The following is a 23,129-nucleotide window of genomic DNA, read 5'->3' as shown; positions in this document are numbered from 1 at the left end:
ACGCAGGCTGTGCGGCTGGAATGCAGCCAGACTGCACAGCCACAACAGCTCAAGGCTTCCTGCTATTTGATAATGGGAACCCACCCAGAACTTGTAAGGGGCGTCCCACTTTCAAGTCACGCTTCAGGAAGATCAATCCAAAGCGTGTGAGGGTGGGCGGGCTGGGGGAAGGCAGATAAATTGGGAAGTGGTGACCATAGCCAGGGTGTGAAAGGATGCAGGTCTTGAAATAGGGCAGGAGCTAGGAGGACGGAGGATGGAGGAGATGGCCATGCTGAGATTTCAGAGGAGAGGCACCCAGATTTGGCGAGTGAAGCCCACAGGCTCCCAGCACTCTCTGCATGTTCATGCCCCTTCTGGAGTAACAAGTGTGCACTCGAGTCAAGCATGAAGGATCCAAACAACAGAAATGGGATGCTTCTAACTGAGCCTCCTGCCACCTGGGTGACAGGCCTGAGAACTGGCTGAGGGCCTCACCGATAACGTGTTCATATTCTACAGACTAATCGCAGAAGACCCCCCTGCATCCTAGCAGCTGCTCCACACACACCAGAGGTGAGGGGTGGGCCACTTGGGGAACAGAGGAGGAGGCAGTTCCTTGCCACTGATGGGAGTGGGGTAGGAGGGGGCACACCACCACAGGAAGGACTTTGTTCCTTAAGCACAATAACAGGTGCCAGCAAGTCTTCGGGTCTGGGTATGGATTTTGCTTCTAAAAAATAATTACCGGTCAAATTAAACCTACGCTTTCCTTTATTTTAAAGTTTGGATAGGCTTCCAGCCCCCACACCTTTGACCTCTGGCCTAGTTTTCAAGAGAGAAAAGAACACTCTCAGGTGACAGGCTCAGAGGCTGGGTCAGCCATCAGATGAGGTTTGAGCCCAGTCCAGGAGCTGTGTGCTAGAACCTCAGTCCCACCTAACCATGTCTGGGCCTTGCCCCCAAAAGGGCTCAGAGATGGCTCTGACTGTCCTCTTGGCACTGTGGGGTCCTAGAGAGCAGGGGCCCTGCACATCCATCTGGTGCCTCTCAGGGCCTAGTGCAGCACCAGGCACGCAGTGGGTGTCAGTGGATGTTGAACCAACCTTGCATGCAGAACGCCATGCCTGCTGTGATGGCTGCAATTTCTGCAGTCATTCTGGGACTCAATCTGCACCCTACCCCTGCCTTGGGAGGCCAGTGTTACTCCCCATGAGGTGGCTTTGCTACGTGCGGTGTGGCTGAGAGGTTTTCTGCTTTGACTGAGCATCTGGGAAGAGATGGCCTACAGAAGTCCAATTCTATACCCCGCGTGGGACATGAGTACAACCTTCCACTTGGTGAACCATTTGAAAGAGAATCCACAGCAACTGGCCTAAACCATTATCAGCTGAACTTCTAAGAAAAATTTCGAGGTGGAAATGGGTTCCTAAATATTCTACAGTAGAATCTTGGCAACCTACAATTTGCTTATGTTTCTGAATAAAACAATGCCCCCCGCATCCACTGTGGAGTTCTAGTTTTATAATTCTGAGAAACAAAACAACAAAACCAGTTAATATTAAAGAACTCATGAACAGAAGCACCCTATGGAAATTTAAATAGGCTTTAAAATAAGCAAAACTTTTATTAATCCAAAGACCTTACAGATTCAACTTTCTCCTGCATTTTATTTTTCCAGTTTAGAAGATCTGTCTCTGAGTCTGAATCACTCTCTGGCCAAATTACCCGCTGAAGAACTTAGGTTTCAGGCGGGTGAATGTCTGTGGCTGCCTAACCCAAGTCTCTAGCGTTCGGCTGTGAGCAAGCTACAACTTTTTGAGACAGAGTCTCACTCTGTCATCCAGGCTCAAGTGTAGTGGCACGATCTCAACTCATTGCAACCTCCGCCTCTTGGTTTCAAGCAATTCTCCTGCCTCAGCCTCCCAAGTAGCTGGGATTATAGGCATGTGCCATCACACTGGGCTAATTTTTCTATTTTTAGTAGAGATGGGGTTTCGCCATGTTGGCCAGGCTGGTCTCGAACTGCCGATCTCAAGTGATCCACCTGCCTTGGCCTCCCAAAGGGCTGGGATTACAGGCGTGAGCCACCGTGCCTGGCCAAGCCACAGATTGAAATGGCATCTTTGTGTCCTTGTTATCTGGTCACTCACAGAAAGAAGAGGACAGTAGATGGCTGGAGGTGGGTCTCCCGATATTTTCCAAGAAAATATCAGGAAGACTAACGGGATGACTCCCAGAAAAGGGGAGTTTCTTTCTATAAAGATATTTCAAATGTAGGAAATACTGACTGGGGCCACATGTGGTGGGTCACACCTGTAATCCCAGCACTTTGAGAGTCTGAGGTGAGTGGTTCTCTTGAGCCCAGGAGTTTGAGACCAGCCTAGGCAACATGGCGAACCCTCATCTCTACAAAAAATTAGTTGGGCATGGTGGCGTACGCCTGTAGTCCCAGCTACTTTGGCAGCTGAGGTGGAAGGATTGCTTGAGCCTAGAAGTCAAGGCTGCAATGAGCTGTGACTGCGCCACTATACTCCAGCCTGGGCAAGAGTGAAACCCTGTCTCAAAAAGAAATAAAAAAAAAAAAAAAAGAGGAAATACTGACTGAAGTGAAAGGCAGGCTTAAATTCCATCTCAAAGAAACCTCATGCAGCAGCAAGGCGTGAACAGCTTTGAGCCAGGAAAGGACAGGGGCAGGAGCAAGGTTTAGATGCTGCTTGCTTGGTGCTACCCCAGCCCCTACTCCCAAGCAGCACAGAACCTCTACACATGACCACAGTCAACAGGAAGAGCCTTTATCTATCTCCTAGGATAGGTTTTAGAAGCTCCTTTTTGGGTGGGGCTGCCTATAAGTCCTTTAAAGTTTCTCAGATGAGAATATAAATGTCTTCCTTCAGCGTTCTCTAGAGAGATGAAATCGTGATCAAATGAGAAAGGAACAGCAAGGGTAGCAGTAAGTTCTTCTAAAGCAGAAGAACAGGCTGAGAGAAGTGATGGCACTTACAAAAGGGAACTGTGCTGTAAAGATCAATTGTTCCTTGGTTTGCAAACTTCCCTGCCCAGCAACTGCTGGAAAAGCACCCATAAGTAGCCCGAGGGCTGTCAGCATCTACCAGTCAGATTAACTTTGGCTCTGTATAAGGCAGAGTGTCACTGGAGGAAATGGAGGACCAGCCATTCTCATCCCTGCCAATTTTACTTTGGGCTAAAGGACTGGGTTCTTCTCTTGAAGACATTCAGTTTACCTCAACTTCAGGTCACCATTCCTTGATGATCTGATGAAGGAGAGCCACTTCTCACACAGAAATGGGAGAGAGAAACTCAAAAGGGTCCCAAGAGAGCCAGGGGCAGGTGCACATGCCCTGCACTGAACTGAAGGTTGGGGTGCTCACCTGACTGTGGAGTCGCTGCAGCTCTTCTAGGCTTTGCCTCAGTTTACCCCTCTCTCCCTCCATGAGCTCCCTTAGGGCTCTCGAGTCCTCACTGGTCTGCCTTATCTGTTCTTCTAAGGAGTCATCATCAAGTCTCCGGGAGCCCTGACAGTAAAAGAAAGACAGCCAGACAGATATGGTAAGGGTACAGGAGAGATAGGGAAGGGGGAGAGAGATGGTTAGTCGGGGAGAGAAGGAGAGGAGAAATGGGGGAGAGTGGAGGAATGATGTGGGGAAAGATAGTGGGGAAAGATAGTAGGGAAGATGAAGGGAAGGAGAAAAGGAGGAGGGAAGAGACAAAAGGTGGAAGGAAGAAGGGGTCAAGAAGAGAGATTGTGGCCGGGCGCAGTGGCTCACGCTGTAATCCCAGCACTTTGGGAGGCCGAGGCAGCAGATCACGAGGTCAGGAGATCGAGACCATCCTGGCTAACACGGTGAAACCCTGTCTCTACTAAAAATACAAAAAATTAGCCGGGTGTGGTGGTGGGCACCTGTAGTCCCAGCTACTTGGGAGGCAGGAGAATGGCGTGAACCCGGGAGGCAGAGGTTGCAGTGAGCCAAGATGGCGCCACAGCACTCCAGCCTGGGCAACAGAGCGAGACTCCGTCTCAAAAAAACAAAAAACAAACAAAAAAAAGAGATTGCTCAATTTCAACCTGCAAACAGATGTTCACTTTTGTTTCAGGCTTGGGGGAAAGGAAGCCGTGTGGTGGGAATAGCACACCATCACATTCTGACAGCTCTCTTCTCCCACAATGACCTGGCCTCATAGTATAATACCTCCCACAGATCAATACGGCATGGTCAGACAGAACAGCTACCCTTCATATTACTTTACCCAATACAGGCAGAAAGACACAAGTTTTCTGTAGGAGGATGAAACGTGAGGAGAAATAATAGCCAAAAAGCTGGGAGCGTGAGTGGAGGGTAAGTCGGGGAGAAATGTGTCATGAAGCTGGAAGAAATGCCAGACTGCCCAGGATGCCCACGGGAACAGTCCTCTCCTCCACAGGTGGCCACATCTAGGATTCTAAAAGGCCCTTAGAGCTGATCTTCCCAACTTCCTGTGCTCACTTACATTCTTTTGGCGGAAGCTTCAGATCTTTTACTTTTGCCAATTCACAGCTAACCCTACCACTAGGACCAAAGGGCTATAGAATAGCAACTTACAGTTTTTACTTGGATACAAACTTCTATATGCAAAGTTTCCAAGGAAAGCCCTTAAACTGGAAGCTGCCATTGTCTGTACATCACTACCTGGAGAAAAAGGCTCTATGTGTACCTGGTGTGTGCAGGAAGCTGCCTTTGGAGCCCTGACACTTGGCCCCTCTGCCTCATCACAGCAGTAGTTGGTGTTCTCAAATAAGGGCTCACGGCCTGGCGTGGTGGCTCACGCCTGCAATCCCAGCACTTTAGGAGGCTGAGATGGGTGTATCACTTGAGGTCAAGAGTTAAAACTAGCCTGGCCAACATGGTAAAACCCTGTGTCTACTAAAAATGCAAAAACTAGCTGGGTGTGGTTGGTGGTGCACGCCTGTAATCCCAGCTACTCAGGGAGCTGAGGCACGAGAATCACTTGAACCTGAGAGGCAGAGGTTGCAGTGAGCCGAGATTGTGCCACCTCACTCCAGCCGGGGTAACAGAGCGAGACTCTGTCTCAAAAACAAAATCCAAAACAACCAATAAGGGCTCAGAAGAATTCTTGCAGATATTTTATAGGGTTCCAGTTCCATGGCTGACCTCACCCTATGCACTGGGTTCTAACCTCCCACCAGCCAGCTCCTGTGGGGTAAGGACCATCTCAGACTGGCCTCTTACCGTGGGCTCCATGCCATCCACAATGCTCTGTATCAGTCTCTTGAGCTCATTGAGGGCAGTGCGCAAGCTGCCGGCTGGCACATCCTTGGCGGACGAGGTTTCTGAAGACTCGTCCATGGAGGAGTCCGTGGAGACGGCTGAGTCAGCACTGTCATTGCCTCGAAGGTGTGAGCACAGATAGCGAACCTGGCAGTAGGCTTCCCAGAGCTGCAGTCTCAGCTGTTCCACAGAGAATTACTATTCATTTCAGACTCTAGAGAAGACTGCTACCTGGCCATCTTTTTCTAGCTCTGAACCCAAAATACTGATACCCAAGACACCAGTTCTAGAAGAAAGGGTTTTTTGTTCTGTGTTTTTTTTTTAACTCATTTGTCCCAAGAAATAATACTTATTCTGAACCAAGTACATTTATACAGATTCCAAATTCTTATTCTCCCTGTTCTCTAGCTTCTTCCATTCACAATATAAAGCACTTCTTTATATAATCAGTTATTTTGGTGGGAGTCAGAAAACAATCAGGGGAATGAATGGTTCTGTATTATGAAAAGTGTGAAAAGAAACCAGTTAGATGGAGAAGATGGATCATGACTGCTCTGGAACTCTGTCAGTATAACAGGTATGGAGCTGATGGCACAAGCATTTCCTAAGAGGAACTGGGGTGACAATGAGTGGGAATTGGCTGTGCCTATGATACTCTGTCCTCTAGCAATTCTGCTCAATGCCTTAATGGATAAAGTGGGTGGAAAATGGAGGGCCAGGGACATGCTCCATCAGGGCCTGCTTCATGACACTCTAGCCAGCAGGCCAAGGGGCTGACACAGGCACAGGGGCACAGCCTTGCCAGGATGGCAGCTGAGCACTAGGGAGGAGGATGAGACCTAAGCAACCCCAGGTAGCCTCGCCTGTGGGGTGACAGGCAGGTCAGCACCTGCTCTCGCTCCTGCTCCAGCTCCTCAGCCTCCATGCTCTGCTCGATCTCTGACAGGAGGGATGTGCTGGTGGCGGCAGAGCTCTGCAGACTCCTCTCCTCAGTGAGTTCTTCCACCTTCACCTGCAGCTGTCGGCAGGAGAGACGCACCTCCTGAAGCTCCAGCTGGCTTTGGTGCAGCTTTCAAAGAAAGAGCAAATGGTTGAGGTTTACCAAACACAAAAACCAAGACAAACTGACCCTCAACCTGATCATGCTTCTGGATCCAACCACCAATTTATAGAAAAATAAATAGGAGAGAAGAACATGTTAAACTACATCAGGAGATGCACTCAGCAAAATCCAGATCTAGAAAATTCTGACTGGGCGCGGTGGCTCACCCCTGTAATCCCAGCACTTTGGGAGGCCGAGGCGGGCAGATCACCTAAGGTCAGGAGTATGAGACCAGCCTGGCCAACATGATGAAACCCTGCCTCTACTAAAAATACAAAAATTAGCTGGGCGTGGTGGCGGGTACCTGAAATCCCAGCTACTTGGGGAATGAGGCAGGAGAATCGCTTGAACCCAGGAGGCGGACGTTGCAATGAGCTAAGATCACGCCATTGCACTCCAACCTGGGTGACAGTGCGAGACGCCACCTCAAAAAAGAAAAAAAGAAAAAAGAAAATTCTATAGGACAAACAACTCCATTTCCTTAACAAAAACATTGCAAGGGAAAAAACAGATAAAGGAGGAACACAGAAATAAAAAAAGACTTGAGTTATACCAACCAGGCCGGGCGTGGTGGCTCACGCCTGTAACACCAGCATTTTGGAAGGCCAAAGGGGGCAGATCATCTGAAATCAGGAGTTCGAGACCAGCCTGGCCAACATGGTGAAATCTGTCTCTACTAAAATACAAAAATTAGCTGGGCATGGTGGCAGGCGCCTGTAATCCCAGCTACTCGGGAGGCTGAGGCAGGAGAATCGCTTGAACCCAGGAGGCGGAGGTGACAGTGAGCCGAGATTGCGCCATTGCACTCCAGCCTGGGCGACAAGAATGAAACTCCGTCTCAAAAAAAAAAAAAAAGAGTTATACCAACCAATCGCACTATGTAGGCCCATTTTAATCTGTATCTTGATTCAAACAAAAATGTAAAAAAATTATGGACGTTTATAAGACAAGTGAAAATCTGAACACTCACTGGGCATTTTATGATATTAAGAAAATATGCTAATTTTTTTGGTATAATAGTACTGTAGTTACATTTTTTAAAGTTCTTATCTTTTAGAGTTAGTACTTTTTATTTACAGATGAACTTATTAAATTCTGAGATTTACTTCAAAATAACGTGAGAGAAAAGGAAATGGATGTTATGAAGATGGGGCAGCACTGGGCAGGGATTGGTGGTTTTCAGGGCTGGGCTTCATTACACTGTGCCACTGTGGAATGTTTGAAATCCTTTGCAATAAATAATCAAACACACACAGGCACACAAAGTGAGATACCATTAGAGTCTCACCCAAGATGGCTAATATAAATAATACAAATAATATCAAGTGTTGATGAAGATGTGGGGCAATGCTGGTGGGAGTAGAAAATGTACGAATACTTTGGAAAATAGGCAGTTTCTAATAAAGTTAAATAGAATCTATATTCTATGATCCAGCAATTCCACTTTTAGCTGTAGACCCAACAAAAATGAAATGTGTACAACAGACATACACAGGATGTTCAAATAACCACAAATGGGAAACAATCCAAATGCTAATAAGAATAAAATAAGTGAATTGCGGTATGTTCACATGTTAGAATACTATAGAGCAATGAAAGAATATACTGCTACTATATGCCACAACATGGTTAAATTTCACAGACACAATGTTGAACAAAAGCCAGACATAAAAAGTATACATGAGTCTATAAAACGTTCCCAAACTTCACTGAGGTAGAAAAACGTTGGAGTAGAGGTTTGCTTTTGAGGAAGCGGCAAGTATTCTTTTTAGGGTGCTGATCGTGGTCTGTATCTTGATCTCCATGGTGGTTACACAGGTATGTATTTGTAAAAATTAATTGGGCTGTCCCCTTAAGATTTGTATGCTTTACTATATATACATTTTCATGAAAAAAAAATTAAGGGGAAAAAGAGTAGCTTGGAAAGGAGCCGGAGGTGGAAACGGGAGTAGCATCTGGATAGCAATACCAAGAGTTTCTACCCCCACCCAACCATTAGAGGCAAGGCCCTAGGCTGGCCCCTCACTTCCACATCAGGTAGTTGAGTCACAGGTGAAAAGTGACTTTCCGAAAACCCTTGTGAAGCAGAACTGGACTCATGACTCCCAGTCCAGGGTTCTTTCCAGTTTCCACATACCTCATTTGTCCCAGAGAGATATTGACAGATGAGATAGTAACTTATTTTGAAGATCTTTGAGGGAGGAAGTCCCACAGCTTCAGTTCTAACTCTCACGGGCAGAAATGTCCACAGTTTTGCCATGTCTAACATCAGTCCTTCATCCTGCACGTTCACCTGTTTGTTCTCTCTCAGTCCTTTTCTGAAGACTTGAAAAGAGCTAATTACTTGGAGACATTCCTTTTCAATAGCTTTCCAAATTGCTCTATTCTGCAAGCCAAATATATATATTATATGCCCTTTAGACTTTTCCCAGCCTCTCTCTCTTGATTTTTAAATGATCTCAGAGATTTTCACATAAGCCTACATTTTTAGAGCTAGCACAGCCACAGAGATCAATGAGTCCAACTATGTCAGGATAAAACTGAAGCTTAGAAAAGGGGAATGACGCCAGTGGTAGAGAGGAGACAGCAGCGCAGGGGTCAGGAATTGTGGGCAGTGCTCTTTCCTTCTCTCTCCATGCTGCTACTTCACCCCCTCTACCCCACTGCATTCTCCATGGCCCCTTCTGTGTGCAGTTCACAATAGGGTACAACTCTCTGGGGAGGTTACTACTGCTGAATATAAGGGGATGACCCAACCACAGCTGCTAAATGCTATTTTTTTTGAGTCTCTGTCACCCAGGCTGGAGTGCAGTGGCACGATTGTGGCTCACTGCAACCTCTGCCCCCTGGGTTCAAGCAATTCTCCTGCCTCAGCCTCCCTAGTAGCTGGGACCACAGGCATGCGCCGCCATGTCCAGCTAAATTTTGTATTTTTAGTAGAGACGGGGTTTCACCATATTGGCCAGGCTGGTCTCGAACTCCTGACCTCAAGTTATCTGCCCATATCGGCTTCCCAAAGTGCTGGGATTACAGGCGTAAGCCACCACGCCCGGCCTAAATGCTATCTTCTTATCTGTGCACTCCATCACTAACTTGCTTTTAATACAGCAGACCCTAGTTGCAGAATTGTCATCAGTTTGCTAGAAGCTAGACACACGACCACATGCCACATGCCACATCTGCCCAGAAGCAATGCTTCCTACTCTTCCTATCTGTGGACTGCAACTCCCCACTCCAGGTCCTTAGAAGACTTTCAGGAAGTGGTGGTGTGGGGGAGAACTTCTTGGGATTTAAATTAAGCTAATTTATTCTTTTATAAAACAGCATTTCTGGGGTCACCTCTGTTCCATTAAAAAGAAAGTAGACACTGCACTGGTCTTTTTCAGACCTGTGGCTGAGTTGGCTTGTGGCTCCTGCAGAAATGCAGACTGGGGTGGCTGGCAGCCACTTGGAGCTCTATAGTTCTCATGAAGGGAGAAAGCTGCCTTGCAGAGCCTTAGGGGACCTGGGAGCCTCACCTTCACCGTCAGTACTTCGAAATGATTGGCTAATGGCACCAGTGATCTGGAATAGCCCTAAAGAGGAAAGGTTTGGAGCCTGGCTGCCCAGAGAATGAAGAAAGGATTGGCAAGCCTGCTCTGCGTAGTTCTGGTGGATCAGCAATACCTGCTGGTCCAGTGGGAACTTCTCCAACCCCAGTTTTGAGGAGACTCAGAAAGAAAAACATCAGGGTTACAGGAAAAAACAGACATTCCTAGGAAGCATTTGGCACAATTACAAATGGCATATTAAACTGGCAAAATGCTTCACAATTATTTTTTAGACAACTCCACACACATCTCAGCAGGAGGAAGTTTGGCACAGACAAGTACAAGTTCTTATGTACTGGACAAAATTAGTTCAATTACTCATGCACACTCAAAGGTGCTTAATTAATGATAACAGCAAGGGAACAAAAGACCAGGAGAGGTCTGCACTCTCCAGTCAACAATTGATTCACCAACTGGACAGACACAGGCAGAAAAACCAAACCAAACAAGAGAAGAGTCTATTACATTTAAGAGCCCTTTAAAATAAGAAACATCATCCTTTATATGACAAAGATGACACTAAGTATACTTATATGTATGAATAAGAATGACACCAAGTGCTTTGTGTTTGTACAGTACACTACATTTACGCTCATCTAAGGGAACTGGGATGGTGTGATGTTACGTGATTTGCCTAATGGTACACAATCAGCATTAGAGCAAGGTCTAGGCTCCAGGTCACCTGCTTCCTGGGTTGCCCCACAGTGAGCAGGGCCTGTGCTCTGCTGATGGAATCCACCCAGTCGCTGGGACTAGGCCCTGCAGACATCTGTAAGATGCCCAGCTGAGTATGAGACAGGGCAGTTAAGTGGCCCTTAGAGGGACAAATAGATTTCCTTTACTGGATAGTAAGAGTTTGGCAAAATACTTGATATATACTGGGTGTTCAATGAATAATAATTTTTATGCTTATTCTCAGGTCTGAAAAAATTCAGAGTTGGATTTGATCAGTTGTTTGAAAATCTGTTTTTGACAGCAGGACCCCAATTATATAGTGACAGAGATCAAAAGGGGGCTCCCCTGGTTGTGACAGGCCTGTTGCCTTGCCTGCTCAGCCATCCCTCACCCTTGTCTGAGGATTTAAAATCAAAGGATTAAGTACATTCCAAGGCCACTAGCTTTACATTTTACAAATATGGTTTAGGATCATTCAGCTGCTACCTGAGTAAGCTGGATTTTTTATTTCTGTATCAGTACGGGCCATTTTAGCAACAGAAAGGACTTTCTGGAGGACACTGGTAATTAGTGGCAACTGGAGAGTTTCACATGAACTGAAGGACTATAATGATAAATTGTTAGAGAAGATGAGAATTCAGCCTATAAATGCAGATTTTCCAAATCAGTTGAGTACTGCCTGACTTGCTGCAGGTCCTTAGGTGAATGACACCTTCTCAGTCTTGAAGTTCAACAGAAAGACAGTGGATGTGCACATGGTGAGCAAGTGCATGTGGCATGACGGGATTCTCGCTGCTAAAGAATGTACAGCCCACAGTGCTGGTCAGGCCCCTGAAGGCATACTAGTCCTGCCTCTTTCCCCCAACCCAGGTCCCCAGTTCTTGATTTGAAATAAGGACTTTTCACTATAAATTCATGCTGAACTGAAAGTTTCTTTTAGGCAAGGGCCATTTTTCTCTTTCTCCATACTTATTTTCCTTCTCCTCCCATACTGTATGTCAGCAACCCTCAGGAGAGCAGCTTGATAGGGTAATAAATGCTGGTCAGGAACTGATTTTTGGAGGCAAGTGATACCAAGAAGTTATCACTGAGCTACAGGTAAAGCAGGTGAGAGGGTTCCAGTCTCGATTCTACCAAAGACTCACTACATGACTTTGGATAAACGATTCAGTTTTTCTCAATTTCAGCTTTATGATGTATGCTAAAAGCACCCTGTATGCCAAAGAGGCACACAAATGTTCACTGCTATTATTATCATCAACCTTGAAAAATGAGCAAATTCTTTTCCATCTTGAAAACTGCTGTAAGGCTTTAGCCAGCACCATTTTCTACTCAACATTGACTGAGGTACTACTATTAATATATGGAAAGTTACTAGCTGAAGGTACTAAAAACATGCAGAGATAAAAGCCATTCATTTTCCCTCAAAGCGGTTAATCACTCAGGTGTCAGCTTAGCTGATGGTGCCAGGGACAAGTAATCTTAGTCCAAGACATTATATTTCCTTATCCCATACCCCAAGGCTTTCAAACAGCCTACCTATGAGCCCAGTGGGACCTTCTGTGGCCTAGCCTTCGGGCAGAGATCCACCTGGTGCTTGAGTACACCTGGCTGACCACCTCTGCACAAACATCACTGTTGCAATCCAGTGCACTCCCTGGCATGCACAGAGAATGCCAAAGGGAAGCAATGCACTCCTAGTTTCTGACCCCAAGTCCTCCTAGGCCAGCCCAGCAAAGCATCTTGGTAGCAGATGCTGTACTCTATTTCTGGGAAGACTGGAGTGATGATATCTTTTTGTTTTGGGAGTTGTTTCCTGTCAAGTGTGAGCTTGGGGATTCAGCTGAGGCCCGGTAGCAGTTCCCAAATAAGAACAAATATGGCCATGAAGCAATTTCCTTCAGAAAGAAAAAAAGAGACTGATGAGGCTCACAAAGGGGTCAGTCTATGCCTTTTCTGGCAACTGGCAGAAGCAGCATATAAATCTTGCTGTGTTCAGTGGGCAGCTTCAGGTTTCTGCTCCATGCCAGCCAACTAAATCCATGAGCTTGGGAAGACAGCAGCAGAGAGCATTATGAGCTGAGTTAGAGAGTCACAGGCTCCCTCTGAAACCTTCTAGCAGATTTCGCAAATGCTAGGAGGCCAGAATAGCACTCCTGGTGTTCCAGCCATGTTAAGAACCCAGAGAGAACTCTGTGAAACTGCTCCGTGGGCCAGTGGCTCAGAACACATTGTAGAAATGATCTGTGGGTAGCAGTGCACTTCCTTTAGGCAGAGTCGGAAGAGCCAAGTTAGTGAATGCCCCAGGCCCCACAGCGAGACCTCAGCATCATCCACTCCCAGCTTACCCCAGCAGTGATGCTGGCCTCCCAGCCTTTTCTTTTTGGCTAAGTGCTCCTTTTATCTGGCTCTAGTCCTGCAGGACAGCTTCTCTACCCCAGTACCTGTAGGTCCTTGTCATGGCCCTGCCTCTCCAGGATTAGCACCCGGTCCTGTAGCTCCTCCACGGTCCCTTGGAGCAGGTCATTTTCCTCTAAAGTAGCGCTGAGACGATGCTCCAGCTCCCGTTTCCGATCTGACAGCATCTTGATCTGAAAGGGTGGAGAGCCACAGGGGTGGTGTGGAGTTACACCCGGGCTGACAAGTAGGAACTAGGGACTAGCCCCAAAACATGAAGGCAAGTATCTTTCAGTATTCTGCCCAATGTCACGGTACCCCCATCTCTGAGAGAATAGCTATGAAACCCTAAGCTGAAGAGAAAACCCCTCCCCTCTAGAAACCTGTCTGGGAAGGAGTAGGAGTTGAGCTCTGGGGAAGCTGGAATGTGGGATGCCAGGCAGAGGAAGGGAAGGCTAGTGCTCTGGAAATTCCAGAGATAAGATAAAAAAAAAAAGGGCTCCACCTTGCCTGCCCTCAACTTTACCCCATCCTTACAACTGGCAGGAGGAGTGGAACCTAACCTGCTGCACTACTTCTCCTCCTCAAGTCATGAGCACAAGAAAATGCCCAGGAAATCCTCTGGAGCGCCGTGTTTTCACACCCCGGGATTCCCCTCCGTCTTCCTTTCCCCGCTCCTGGCCCCTCTGGCACTAGAGGTCACAGCTCAGATCCAGTGCCTTGAGTTAAGGGAAGAGCTCCCAGGGTACAGAAAACAAAGTAGTGCCTGCATCAGCCTGTGTCCTGGGATGGAGCAGGACACAGATACAAGTGAATGCTGACTTTACTCAGAGTAACTTTTACCTGAGCGAGTCATTCGTGAAGAGGCGCAAATTCTTTTTATGAAACAGGTTGATATGTTCGTATACACTGAATACCTAGTCAGTCTCCACATAAGTAAATCTTCTTTTAGGAAGGTCTGTCTAATCTCTTCAGTGTCAGTGAGAAAACAGAGGCAAAGAGGGAAGAGATGCCAAGTCTCCTCTGGCCTCAAGGTTTGAAGGGTGAGAAGCTGAGCCAGTGCTCCCCAAGGCCAGGGATGCTTCACTCAAAAGATCACCACCCTGGCTCAGGGGGTCCAGAAAGCCCTGCCAATTGGATCTGACTCCTAGGGGACCTTCTGGAATCCTGGAGGTCCTCGTGGATCCTCCCATTTATTTAGCAGTGCCCTGCTGGACTGATTCTTAACCAGTTTCTTGCTTGTAAATATTTTCTTGACATGGTTAAAATATTCTCCAAGCTCTCTAGTCCAGCTTTGATAACAATTCCTTAAGGCTTTTACTTGTGCAAGTTTTGGGGACCAACCTTAGAACTTTTCCAGGGGAAATCCTGAAATGAATGTCTAGCTTGTTTCAGTCCTACGAGATACACTTTTCCCTTTACTTTTTATCTGTTCTCATTCTCTGAACTAGAATTCTGCTCACAGGGCACAGATCTTCTCTGGCCACCAATTCAATCAGATAGGATGTTGTCCTGGGGAAACAAAGTATGTGGCCTTTGTCCAGAGAGATCAGATATCTGGCCAAACAAAGAAATATTGTCTCTCAAGTGTGCATCTGGGTAGGGGACCAAAAGGAGCAAGCCCCTTTTGTGAATGGGTCCACTATTTCCTACACTGAAGCAAAGTTACCCATGTGAAGACAATTCTTACTCTAGTTGATTTTCATTTAAATACCCTCTGACCTTTAAATTTTCCTTCCCATGAATCATCTTTGTTTCCCAACTTTCAGTCAGTGAAGTGATGGGGTAATAAGATTCTGATACACAACTGACCCTAAAAAAACTTAGTTCGGAGCTACACAAAGTAACTTACTTGAAACAAACAATTTCATAGCTTGCCTTTTAAAGGTAGCAGTGTTCATGGACAAAGCAGGGAATCAGTGTTAGGCCACCAACTCCCTCACCCAGCGCTATACACCCTGAAACTTGTGAAAAAATCTGGCAATAAACATTCCTGGGGACGACCCGGTTCATGAGGGTCTAGAAAAAATGAACGGGTGAGGAAAGAGGAAGACAGGAAACGTGAAGGAGTCAGAGGCTGGCAGAGGCAGGTGAATGGCAAGTCATGCACACAAATGGTCACACACAGGCATGCCAAACCCCACTGGAACAAACTCTACTTACTTCAAGGACCTGCTGCTCAATACCAGTAGGCATTCCAAGGGAAAGGGGGAAGGAAGGGAATAGGAGGCAGGAGAAAAGAGAAGATATTGACAGACTTTAGGAAAAACATCCTCAGGTCATTTACCGAGCAGGGCAACAGGCTATCTGGGTTTCTCTGGCCTGACCATGATGGCAGATCGCTTCGTCACAGTGGAAGGTTACTTGTTCAACCTGGCTCTAGACTGTCCTTCAAACTCTGACTTAGCAAAGGGGCTGCTACTTGGCCCCTTTAGCCAGATACTTGGCTAAAGGGTCCTCAAAAGCAGACCAGGTGGAAGCCTCCCCTAGGGGGAGGCCTGGTTTGGGCTGGTGATAAGATCCTTACCCTCTCTTCACCTTCCACAACCAGGTTCTCACAGTATTGTTCCCCTGCCGATACTTTCTTTTTCCCCTCATCCTGGCCCTCACATTCTGGCCTCTCCTATGGTTCCAATAACATCACTGTGTTCCAGGTATCATATAAAGTGCCTTGTATGCATTAACCCATAATATCCTTGCAAAAACCTGTGAAGTAGAAACTTCTATTTCTCTCATTTTGCAGGTGAGAATGATAGTAGACCTTACTAAGTTGGACTGAACTGGGCCTAAATGGAATAGAGAAAGGCGAGATGCCCTTTCCCACCTCCTGTTTGGGATTGGCAAGGATATTTTTGGAGAGATCAACATATTCAGTAAAATGTAGGTCATTCGTGATTTCAACACACCCGGCAGTAACTCTGAGCAACTTCATTTTTCCAGACAACAGGCTACCCAGAGAAACAGATCAAATGTTTCCCATTTAGTTTCGCACAGAAATGTCTTTCTGTAGAGATTTTAGGCCCTTTTACATAGAGCAGTTTTTTGTCTCCCAGTGAGAAAAGCACTCCACCTTCCAGCACTGCTGTGTCGGGAGGCTCACCTCGGCCTGAAGGCTCTCCAGCCGGATAATGTGCTGGTTGGTTGATGAGTTTTTCTCCCGAAAGTCTTCTCTGAGGGCGTGGACCTGCATGGAGAGTTGTCTCTCAACTTCTGATGCCTGAAACAGAGGAGACCTGCAGAGCTGATTCGGAGGTTATGCAAAGGAACTCTGTTAAGGTTTCTGCTTTCATTTATCAAGCATCTCTTTGCACTTTCTATTCTTTAAGGAGCACTAGATGAGATGCTGGTTTCCCATCCATTTGTTCTCTAGTCCAAAACAGGACAAACTCCCACCCCCACCTCTACCATTAATGACCCTGAATAGGTGCAAGACCACTCTACTGATCAAAGGAAACAGCCCTAGGAAATAGTATGCTCTCAAATGTTAGTTATCATTATTACTCTACATATAGCAGAAACTCAGCAAATATCTAATAAATTGAAAGTCTGAATATTTTACATAAAAGAATAAGATGGTTATACCTACTGCCTTAGAAATTCCTTTACTTCTCCCATCAATTTCCTCAAGTGGGCTCAGTCAAATCACGTGCATCTGCATTTCTCTCCTCTACTTAACATGGACACTATTTGAAATTTCTTGTCATACCTGTTAAGATTTTTTGCCACTCATTCCTCAAGGACATTTTTGCAACTTTTAATTCTTTGGGGAGTGCCAGCAGAGGTGCCTGTTTCCCACCTCAATCCATTTATGATCTAATGCTAAAATACAGCAAACACCAAATACCATCTGGTGTTGCAGGAGGCTCACCTGGTAACACAAACTCCAGCCCTCCTCCTGAGGGTCCCAGCCCAGACCCTACTGAGGGAGCCCTGCCCACTGTCCTGTGGAGAGGAGAGCCACGGGACAAATTAAGTAACTGCCTCAATGCTTTTTTGAGGCCAAATGGGGTCAGTAAGCTTTATGGGTTCTCTCGGGAGAGATCACCGTGTGCTGGAACGGCCAGGAAAGGCTTTCCGAGGAGGTGGGATGGTGATAATGTTGAAGTGGTAGGCTAGCTGTTCAATGAGGCTCTCACAGTAATGGTTACATGTTCAGTAGTTCTTTTTATCTTCAAGTACTATATAATCAATTGTCCATCTTTTTTATTTTTGGTTCCACATATTCAACAAATGTTACCTCACTGGACTACAGAGCCACAGAAGATTCTCAACCTACAGTGCTATTTTAAAAACAATTACAAAACACAAAACAAAATAAAATCAAACCATACTCTAGTTGATTTTCATTTAAATACCCTCTAACCTTTAAATTTTCCTTCCTATGAATCATCTTTGTTTCCCAAGTTTCAGTCAGTGAAGTAATGAGCTAGTAAGATTCTGATATACAACTGACTCCTTAAAAAACTTAGAAGTTCAGAGCTACATGAAGTAACTTATTGGAAATGAACAATTTCATAGCTTGGCTTTATGATGCAAGGAATCAGCATTAGGCTGCCAACTCCCTCACCCCACCCTACACACCCTGAAACCTGTGAACAATTCTGGCAATAAACATTCCTGGGAATATTTTCCCTATATTATTTCTCCTTCGTATTCTAAATTTAATTTCAGATACCCACTAGGCTGTTTTAGACTTCTCAATCACTTAAAAACACATTAGTCATTCACTTTTGCCTAAGAATCACATTAGTAATATTTACTGAGTACATACTATGTGTCAAGAACTGTGCTAATTGCTTTCCAATGCATTATCTTGATTGTTACCCCCAATTAACAAGGAAATCGGCTCAGGAAACTGAAGGAACTTGCCCAGCATCTCAGTGACAGAATCAGGATGGTAAAAACTTTGGGCTGGGTTGGGTACGCTGGCTCATGCCTGTAATCCCAGCACTTTGGGAGGCTGAGGTGGGTGGACTGCTTAAGCCCAGGAGCTTGAGACCAGCCTGGCCAACATGGTGAAACCCAGTCTCTAGAAAAAATACAAAAATTAGCTAGGCATGGTGGTATGTGCCTGCAGTCCCAGCTACTTGGGAGGCTGAGGTGGGAGGATCACCTGAGCCTGGGGAGGTCGAGGCTACAGTGAGCCATGATCGTGCTGCCACTGCACTACAGCCTTGGCAACAGAGTGTGAAAGCCTGTCTCAAAAATAAATAAATAGGCTGGGCAGGGTAACTCACGTCTGTACTCCCAGCATTTTGGGAGCCTGAGGTGGCTGGATCACCTGAGGTCAGGAGTTTGAGACCAGCCTGGCCAACATGGCGAAACCCTATCTCTACTAAAAATACAAAAATTAGGCCGGGCATGGTGGCTCACACCTGTAATCCCAACACTTTGAGAGGCCGAGGTGGGCGGATCACAAGGTCAGGAGTTCAAGACCAGCTTGGCCAACATGGTGAAACCCCGTGTCTACTAAAAATACAAAAATTAGCTGGGCATGGTGGCATGCACCTGTAATCCCAGCTACTCGGGAGGCTGAGGCAGGAGAATTGCTTGAACTGGGACACGGGAGGTGGAGGTTGCAGTGAGTTGAGATTGAGCCACTGCACTCCAGCCCAGGCTACAGAGCGAGACTCAGTCTCAAAAAACAAACAAACAAACAAACAAATTAACCGGGCATGGTGGTGCGTGCCTATAGTACCAGCTATTGGGAGGTTGAGGCAGAAGAATCGCTTGAACCTGGGAGGCAGAAGTTGCAGTGAGCCAAGATCATGCCACTGCACTCCAGCCTGGGCAACAGAGCAAGACTACGTCTCAAAAAGAAAAAATTAAAAAAAATTAATAAAAAAAAAACCAACTTTGGCTGTCTTAACCTCAAATTAGTACTGTAATACTATCTTCTTGTATTTTGAAATAATTTTTCATATTTCTATTGCTCACTACTAAAACCAAACTTTACACGAGTCCAATTTAGCAAGGCTTTTCTTCTTTTTTTTCAATGCTAGGCATTTCATTTGAGACTCTTAAAATTTCTTCTAAGGCCAGCTGCAGTGGCTCACGCCTCTAATCCCAGCACTTTGGGAGGCTGAGGTGGGTGGATCACCTGAGGTAAGGAGTTTGAGACCAGCCTGGCCAACATGGTAAAACCCAGTCTCTACTAAAAATACAAAAATAAGGCGGGCGTGGTGGCGGGTGCCTGTAGTCCTAGCCACTCGGGAGGCTGAGGCAGGAGAATCGCTTAAACCCAGGAGAGGGAGGTTGCAGTGAGCCAAGATCGCGCCACTGCACTCCAGCCTGGGCCACAGGGCAAGACTCTGTCTCAAAAAAAAAAAAAAAAAAGAAAAAAATTTTAACAGAAGGTAGGGCTGGCCCATCAGGAAATCACATGCTGCAGTTTGAGTGCATATACTGAATTCAGTTGACTGTTGAGATTTCAAACATACTTAGATGTGCAGAGCACTGGGTAATTCAGGTAGCTGATCTTATTCCTACCATCACCACTTTGACATGAATCACTCAACAACGAAGCCGCAGAGATGCACCGAGGGCTGCAAATCTAGTCCAGCTGGTATAAAATGCTCCTGCAGACTACCTCTTCTCAAAGCGATCTTCTTAGAAATAGAAATTTGTCTCTTCCTACCAGAAAGTTAAACTCTAGAGCCTAAGCTGTTAAGCACTAAGCTATAATGCTCCCTTTAAATGTCTGACTCCTCAACTATGCCCAGGGATATGCACAGCAAAAGCTTTTAAACTCCATTTCTCATCTCAATTTACAATAGCCTTAAGAAGCAGGAATCGGCCAGGCGCGGTGGCTCATGCCTGTGGTCCCAGAACTTTGGGAGGCCGAGGCGGGTGGATCGCGAGGTCAGGAGATCGAGACCATCCTGGCTAACACGGTGAAACTCCGTCTCTTCTAAAAATACAAAAAAAAATTCTCCAGGCGTGGTGGCGGGCGCCTGTGGTCCCAGCTATTCGGGAGGCTGAGGCAGGAGAATGGCATGAGCCCGGGAGGCGGAGCTTGCAGCGTGCCGAGATCGCGCCACTGCACTCCAGCCTGGGCGACACAGCAAGACTCCGTCTCAAAAAAAAAAAAAAAAAAAAAAAAAAAAAAGCAGGAATCGCTGGCCTCCTTTTGCAGGGCAGGGAGATAGAGGCTCCAAGGGTGTGTACTGCACTGGCCTTTGGCCACCACATCACAGCCACCTTCCAGCCAGGGGGGCCAATCAATTGCCTGTGATGGTGATGGAGGGAATAGATAATCTGAGTTATAAACCTACCCTTTGCAAGGAGCTAATGCACCTTCCAAAATAAATTATTTTCTTCTTTTTCAGAGATAGAATCTGGTTCACACCTTGGACTTGACTAACACAATGAACATTAGCTATTTCTGCACATAAATTAAATAATAACCTCTTAAGTTTATATATAACTCTTATGTTCTAAATGCTTTCTGGAAGTTAAATGCTAAATAAGGAAGCCTTAGCTCTGGAATGAATTTCAGAGGTTCTTTGAAGAACCTTTGAAGAAGTGGGAGAGTTAGCCAGGGTAACAGCAGTCTCTCTGAAGGGATACACTGTGCTCCTGAGAGGAGGGGTATCGTGGAAAGACAAAAAATTGAATCAAATGGGCCAGGCGCGGTGTAATCCCAGCACGTTGGGAGGCCAAGGTGGAAGGATCGCTTGAGCTCAGGAGTTCGAGACCAGCCTGGACAATATGGTGAAACCCTGTCTCTACAAACTTACAAGTCCTAGTAGTACTTGTCCATGTAATTTCTCTGTAATAATTGGGAACCTGTCATCCATGATAATGTCCTCTAAATATACAACCACAGCATCAAATTCTGCATCAGAGGTGGAGGAGGACAGCCTGAAGCTCTCTTCCTCTAAGGCATCCATTGCTGTTACCATTCCCACCTGCGTGGGCGAGAGGACCACTGGGCTCCTATCCAACCCAGGGCTTGGCACAGGGCCCAGCCTCCCCTCTGCTCTGTAGAGCCCTAACCTGCATCAAGGGCAGGCGGTCGGCTGGGAGGAGGCATTGCTGACCAGGCCACAGACTGCTCACTCACTGCCCAGCAGGGTCAGTGCTCATGCTCGAGGCCTGGCCTCAGGTTCCCCAGCTGCAGCCACTCTCCTGCCAGGTCTCCACATCCATCTAGGACCCTCTGCCCAAATCTTTCTTTCACTCTTTCTCTTTCACTTTTTTTTTTTTTTGAGACGGAGTCTCGCTCTGTCACCCAGGCTGGAGTGCAGTAGCGCGATCTCGGCTAACTGCAACCTCTGCCTCCCAGGTTCAAGCAATTCTCCTGCCTCAGCCTCCTGAGTAGCTGGGATTACAGGCGCACTACCACGCCCAGCTAATTTTTGTATTTTTAGTAGAGACAGGGTTTCACCACGTTGGTCAGGCTGGTCTCGAACTTCTGACCTCGTGATCCGCCCACCTTGGCCTCCCAAAGTGCTAGGATTACAGGCGTGAGCCACTGCGCCCGGCCTCAATTCATTCTTATAGCAGAAAATGGCAGACACAAGTCTTATAGTTTACTTATCAAAATGATGAGTTTTGGCTACCATGCCTAACTAAGCAGCCAGTAATTACTTGTGGCAAAAAACATTTGAAATCATAGGTGAATATAAAATAGATGGCAAGACTTTAGTTAAAGCATTTTTCTTTCCATTTTAAACTCAGGTTTCTTTCTATGATAAAAGTTACAACTGTTCAGAGTAAAAAAAAGTAAAGAAAACTGAAGAATTAAAATGAAAGTTAAAATCTCTACTTACTCCTAGTATTAGTGCCACCCACCACAGGTAATCACTATTAGATCTTTCTTGGGAGTCCTTTTAGAAATTTTCTATTCATATGTATGTATCTATGTAGATCTACCTTATTCTAATTTAACTAGTCCCTACTGATGAGCATTTCGAGTGTTCCAATTTTTTTTGCTATTATGAACATTGCTCCAAAAAATATCTTTGTTCACCCATCTTTGTGCTTGTGGGTAATTTTCCATAAGTGGAATCACTGGGTAAAAGAATACGCACATTCACTCTGAACAAGGTATTGCAAAACAGTCCTCTAAAAAGGTTGCATCAATTTATATCCCTATCAACAGTACAAATACACCTGATGCCTGTTTCTCAATACTCTGCCACCACTGGGTATTATGCAATGTTTTAATCTTTAGATACTTATTTTTTGTTTGTTTGTAGATACTTATTTCTAATATCTTCAAAACTTAAGTCTCTTTTACTTTCACTGAATACAGATTGCATGATGAAGCAAAAAACATTTGAAAAATATCTCTAGTTCTGTTACAGAATGCTAAAAATTTTAATGCACACTCCCAAAACTATCTGAAATAAACTCTTTTTATAATTTGCTTGGGTTACTATTATTTAATGAATCCTCAAGTTGGCAAAACAAAGTAACAGTGTGTTCCTTTTCCTGTTGGTCAGAGTACCATCTAGGACAGATTACTTCCTCCCCACTGAACAAAGCTGTTTCATCATTACTTTGCTTGTGGACATGATTAATAACATATGAACATTCCCCCAAACTAGAACCTTTAGATTAAGCTTGTTTAAACTTGCCAAAGCAGAACTGTTCACTACACACTTTCTTGTTAAATGGAGGGAAGGAAATTGCATTATTTATACGAGTATCCAGTTTACTTATTTGTTGAAAGAAAACAAATGAACTAATAAACTTAGAAATTATCATAGGAAAGATCTACTATTTTAATATTTTGCCTGAATAATTGAGTTTTACCTTAAGAGAGAAATTCTCAAACTTTCTTTTGCCAGGGCATGATGGATAATGGGCACCTTTTGGGGTGGCAGTGACAGTGACAATGAGGATGACGACATTTATTTTAAAATTTAAATGTAACAAAATCCCACTGCAGAATATGGGTATTTTAAAAATGCTGCTAGCATTTTATTTTTTCCCCAATCTTTCTACATATATGTGTGTGTACAATTACTTACAATCCTACTGTTATAATTTTTTACTTAGCATTGTATCAATAGCATTCCTACGTTATTATTATTATTTGAGATGAAGTCTTGCTCTGCTGCCAAGACTGGAGTGCTGTCGTGCGATCTC

The 23,129-nt window shown here is 45.5% G+C and overlaps 1 protein-coding gene across 16 annotated transcripts in view; it reads right to left on the bottom strand.

Moving 5' to 3' along the window:
• Window positions 1-23,129, bottom strand: part of BICDL1 (BICD family like cargo adaptor 1) — a 105,260-nt gene that overhangs the window by 16,538 nt on the left and 65,593 nt on the right. For 6 of the 16 annotated variants that reach the window (XR_007063143.1, NR_147892.1, XM_006719694.4 and 3 more), the window contains 6 exons: window positions 16,132-16,248; window positions 15,195-15,206; window positions 13,079-13,225; window positions 6,157-6,336; window positions 5,229-5,447; window positions 3,372-3,515 (listed from right to left, as the gene is read on the bottom strand). Coding sequence is in view for 12 of the 16 variants with exons in the window: in XM_006719694.4 (XP_006719757.1) it covers window positions 3,372-3,515; window positions 5,229-5,447; window positions 6,157-6,336; window positions 13,079-13,225; window positions 15,195-15,206; window positions 16,132-16,248 (819 nt within the window). In the remaining 4 variants the exon portion in view is untranslated. Of the gene's footprint in view, window positions 1-3,371; window positions 3,516-5,228; window positions 5,448-6,156; window positions 6,337-13,078; window positions 13,226-15,194; window positions 15,207-16,131; window positions 16,265-23,129 lie in introns of all 16 variants that reach the window. The other 10 variants (NR_147893.1, XM_006719696.4, XM_047429889.1 and 7 more) reach the window with 6 other exon arrangements.

This window comes from Homo sapiens, chromosome 12, assembly GCF_000001405.40.
Source record: "Homo sapiens chromosome 12, GRCh38.p14 Primary Assembly".
NCBI classification, from domain to species: domain Eukaryota; kingdom Metazoa; phylum Chordata; class Mammalia; order Primates; family Hominidae; genus Homo; species Homo sapiens.
This window is presented reverse-complemented; position numbering and strand designations above follow the sequence as displayed.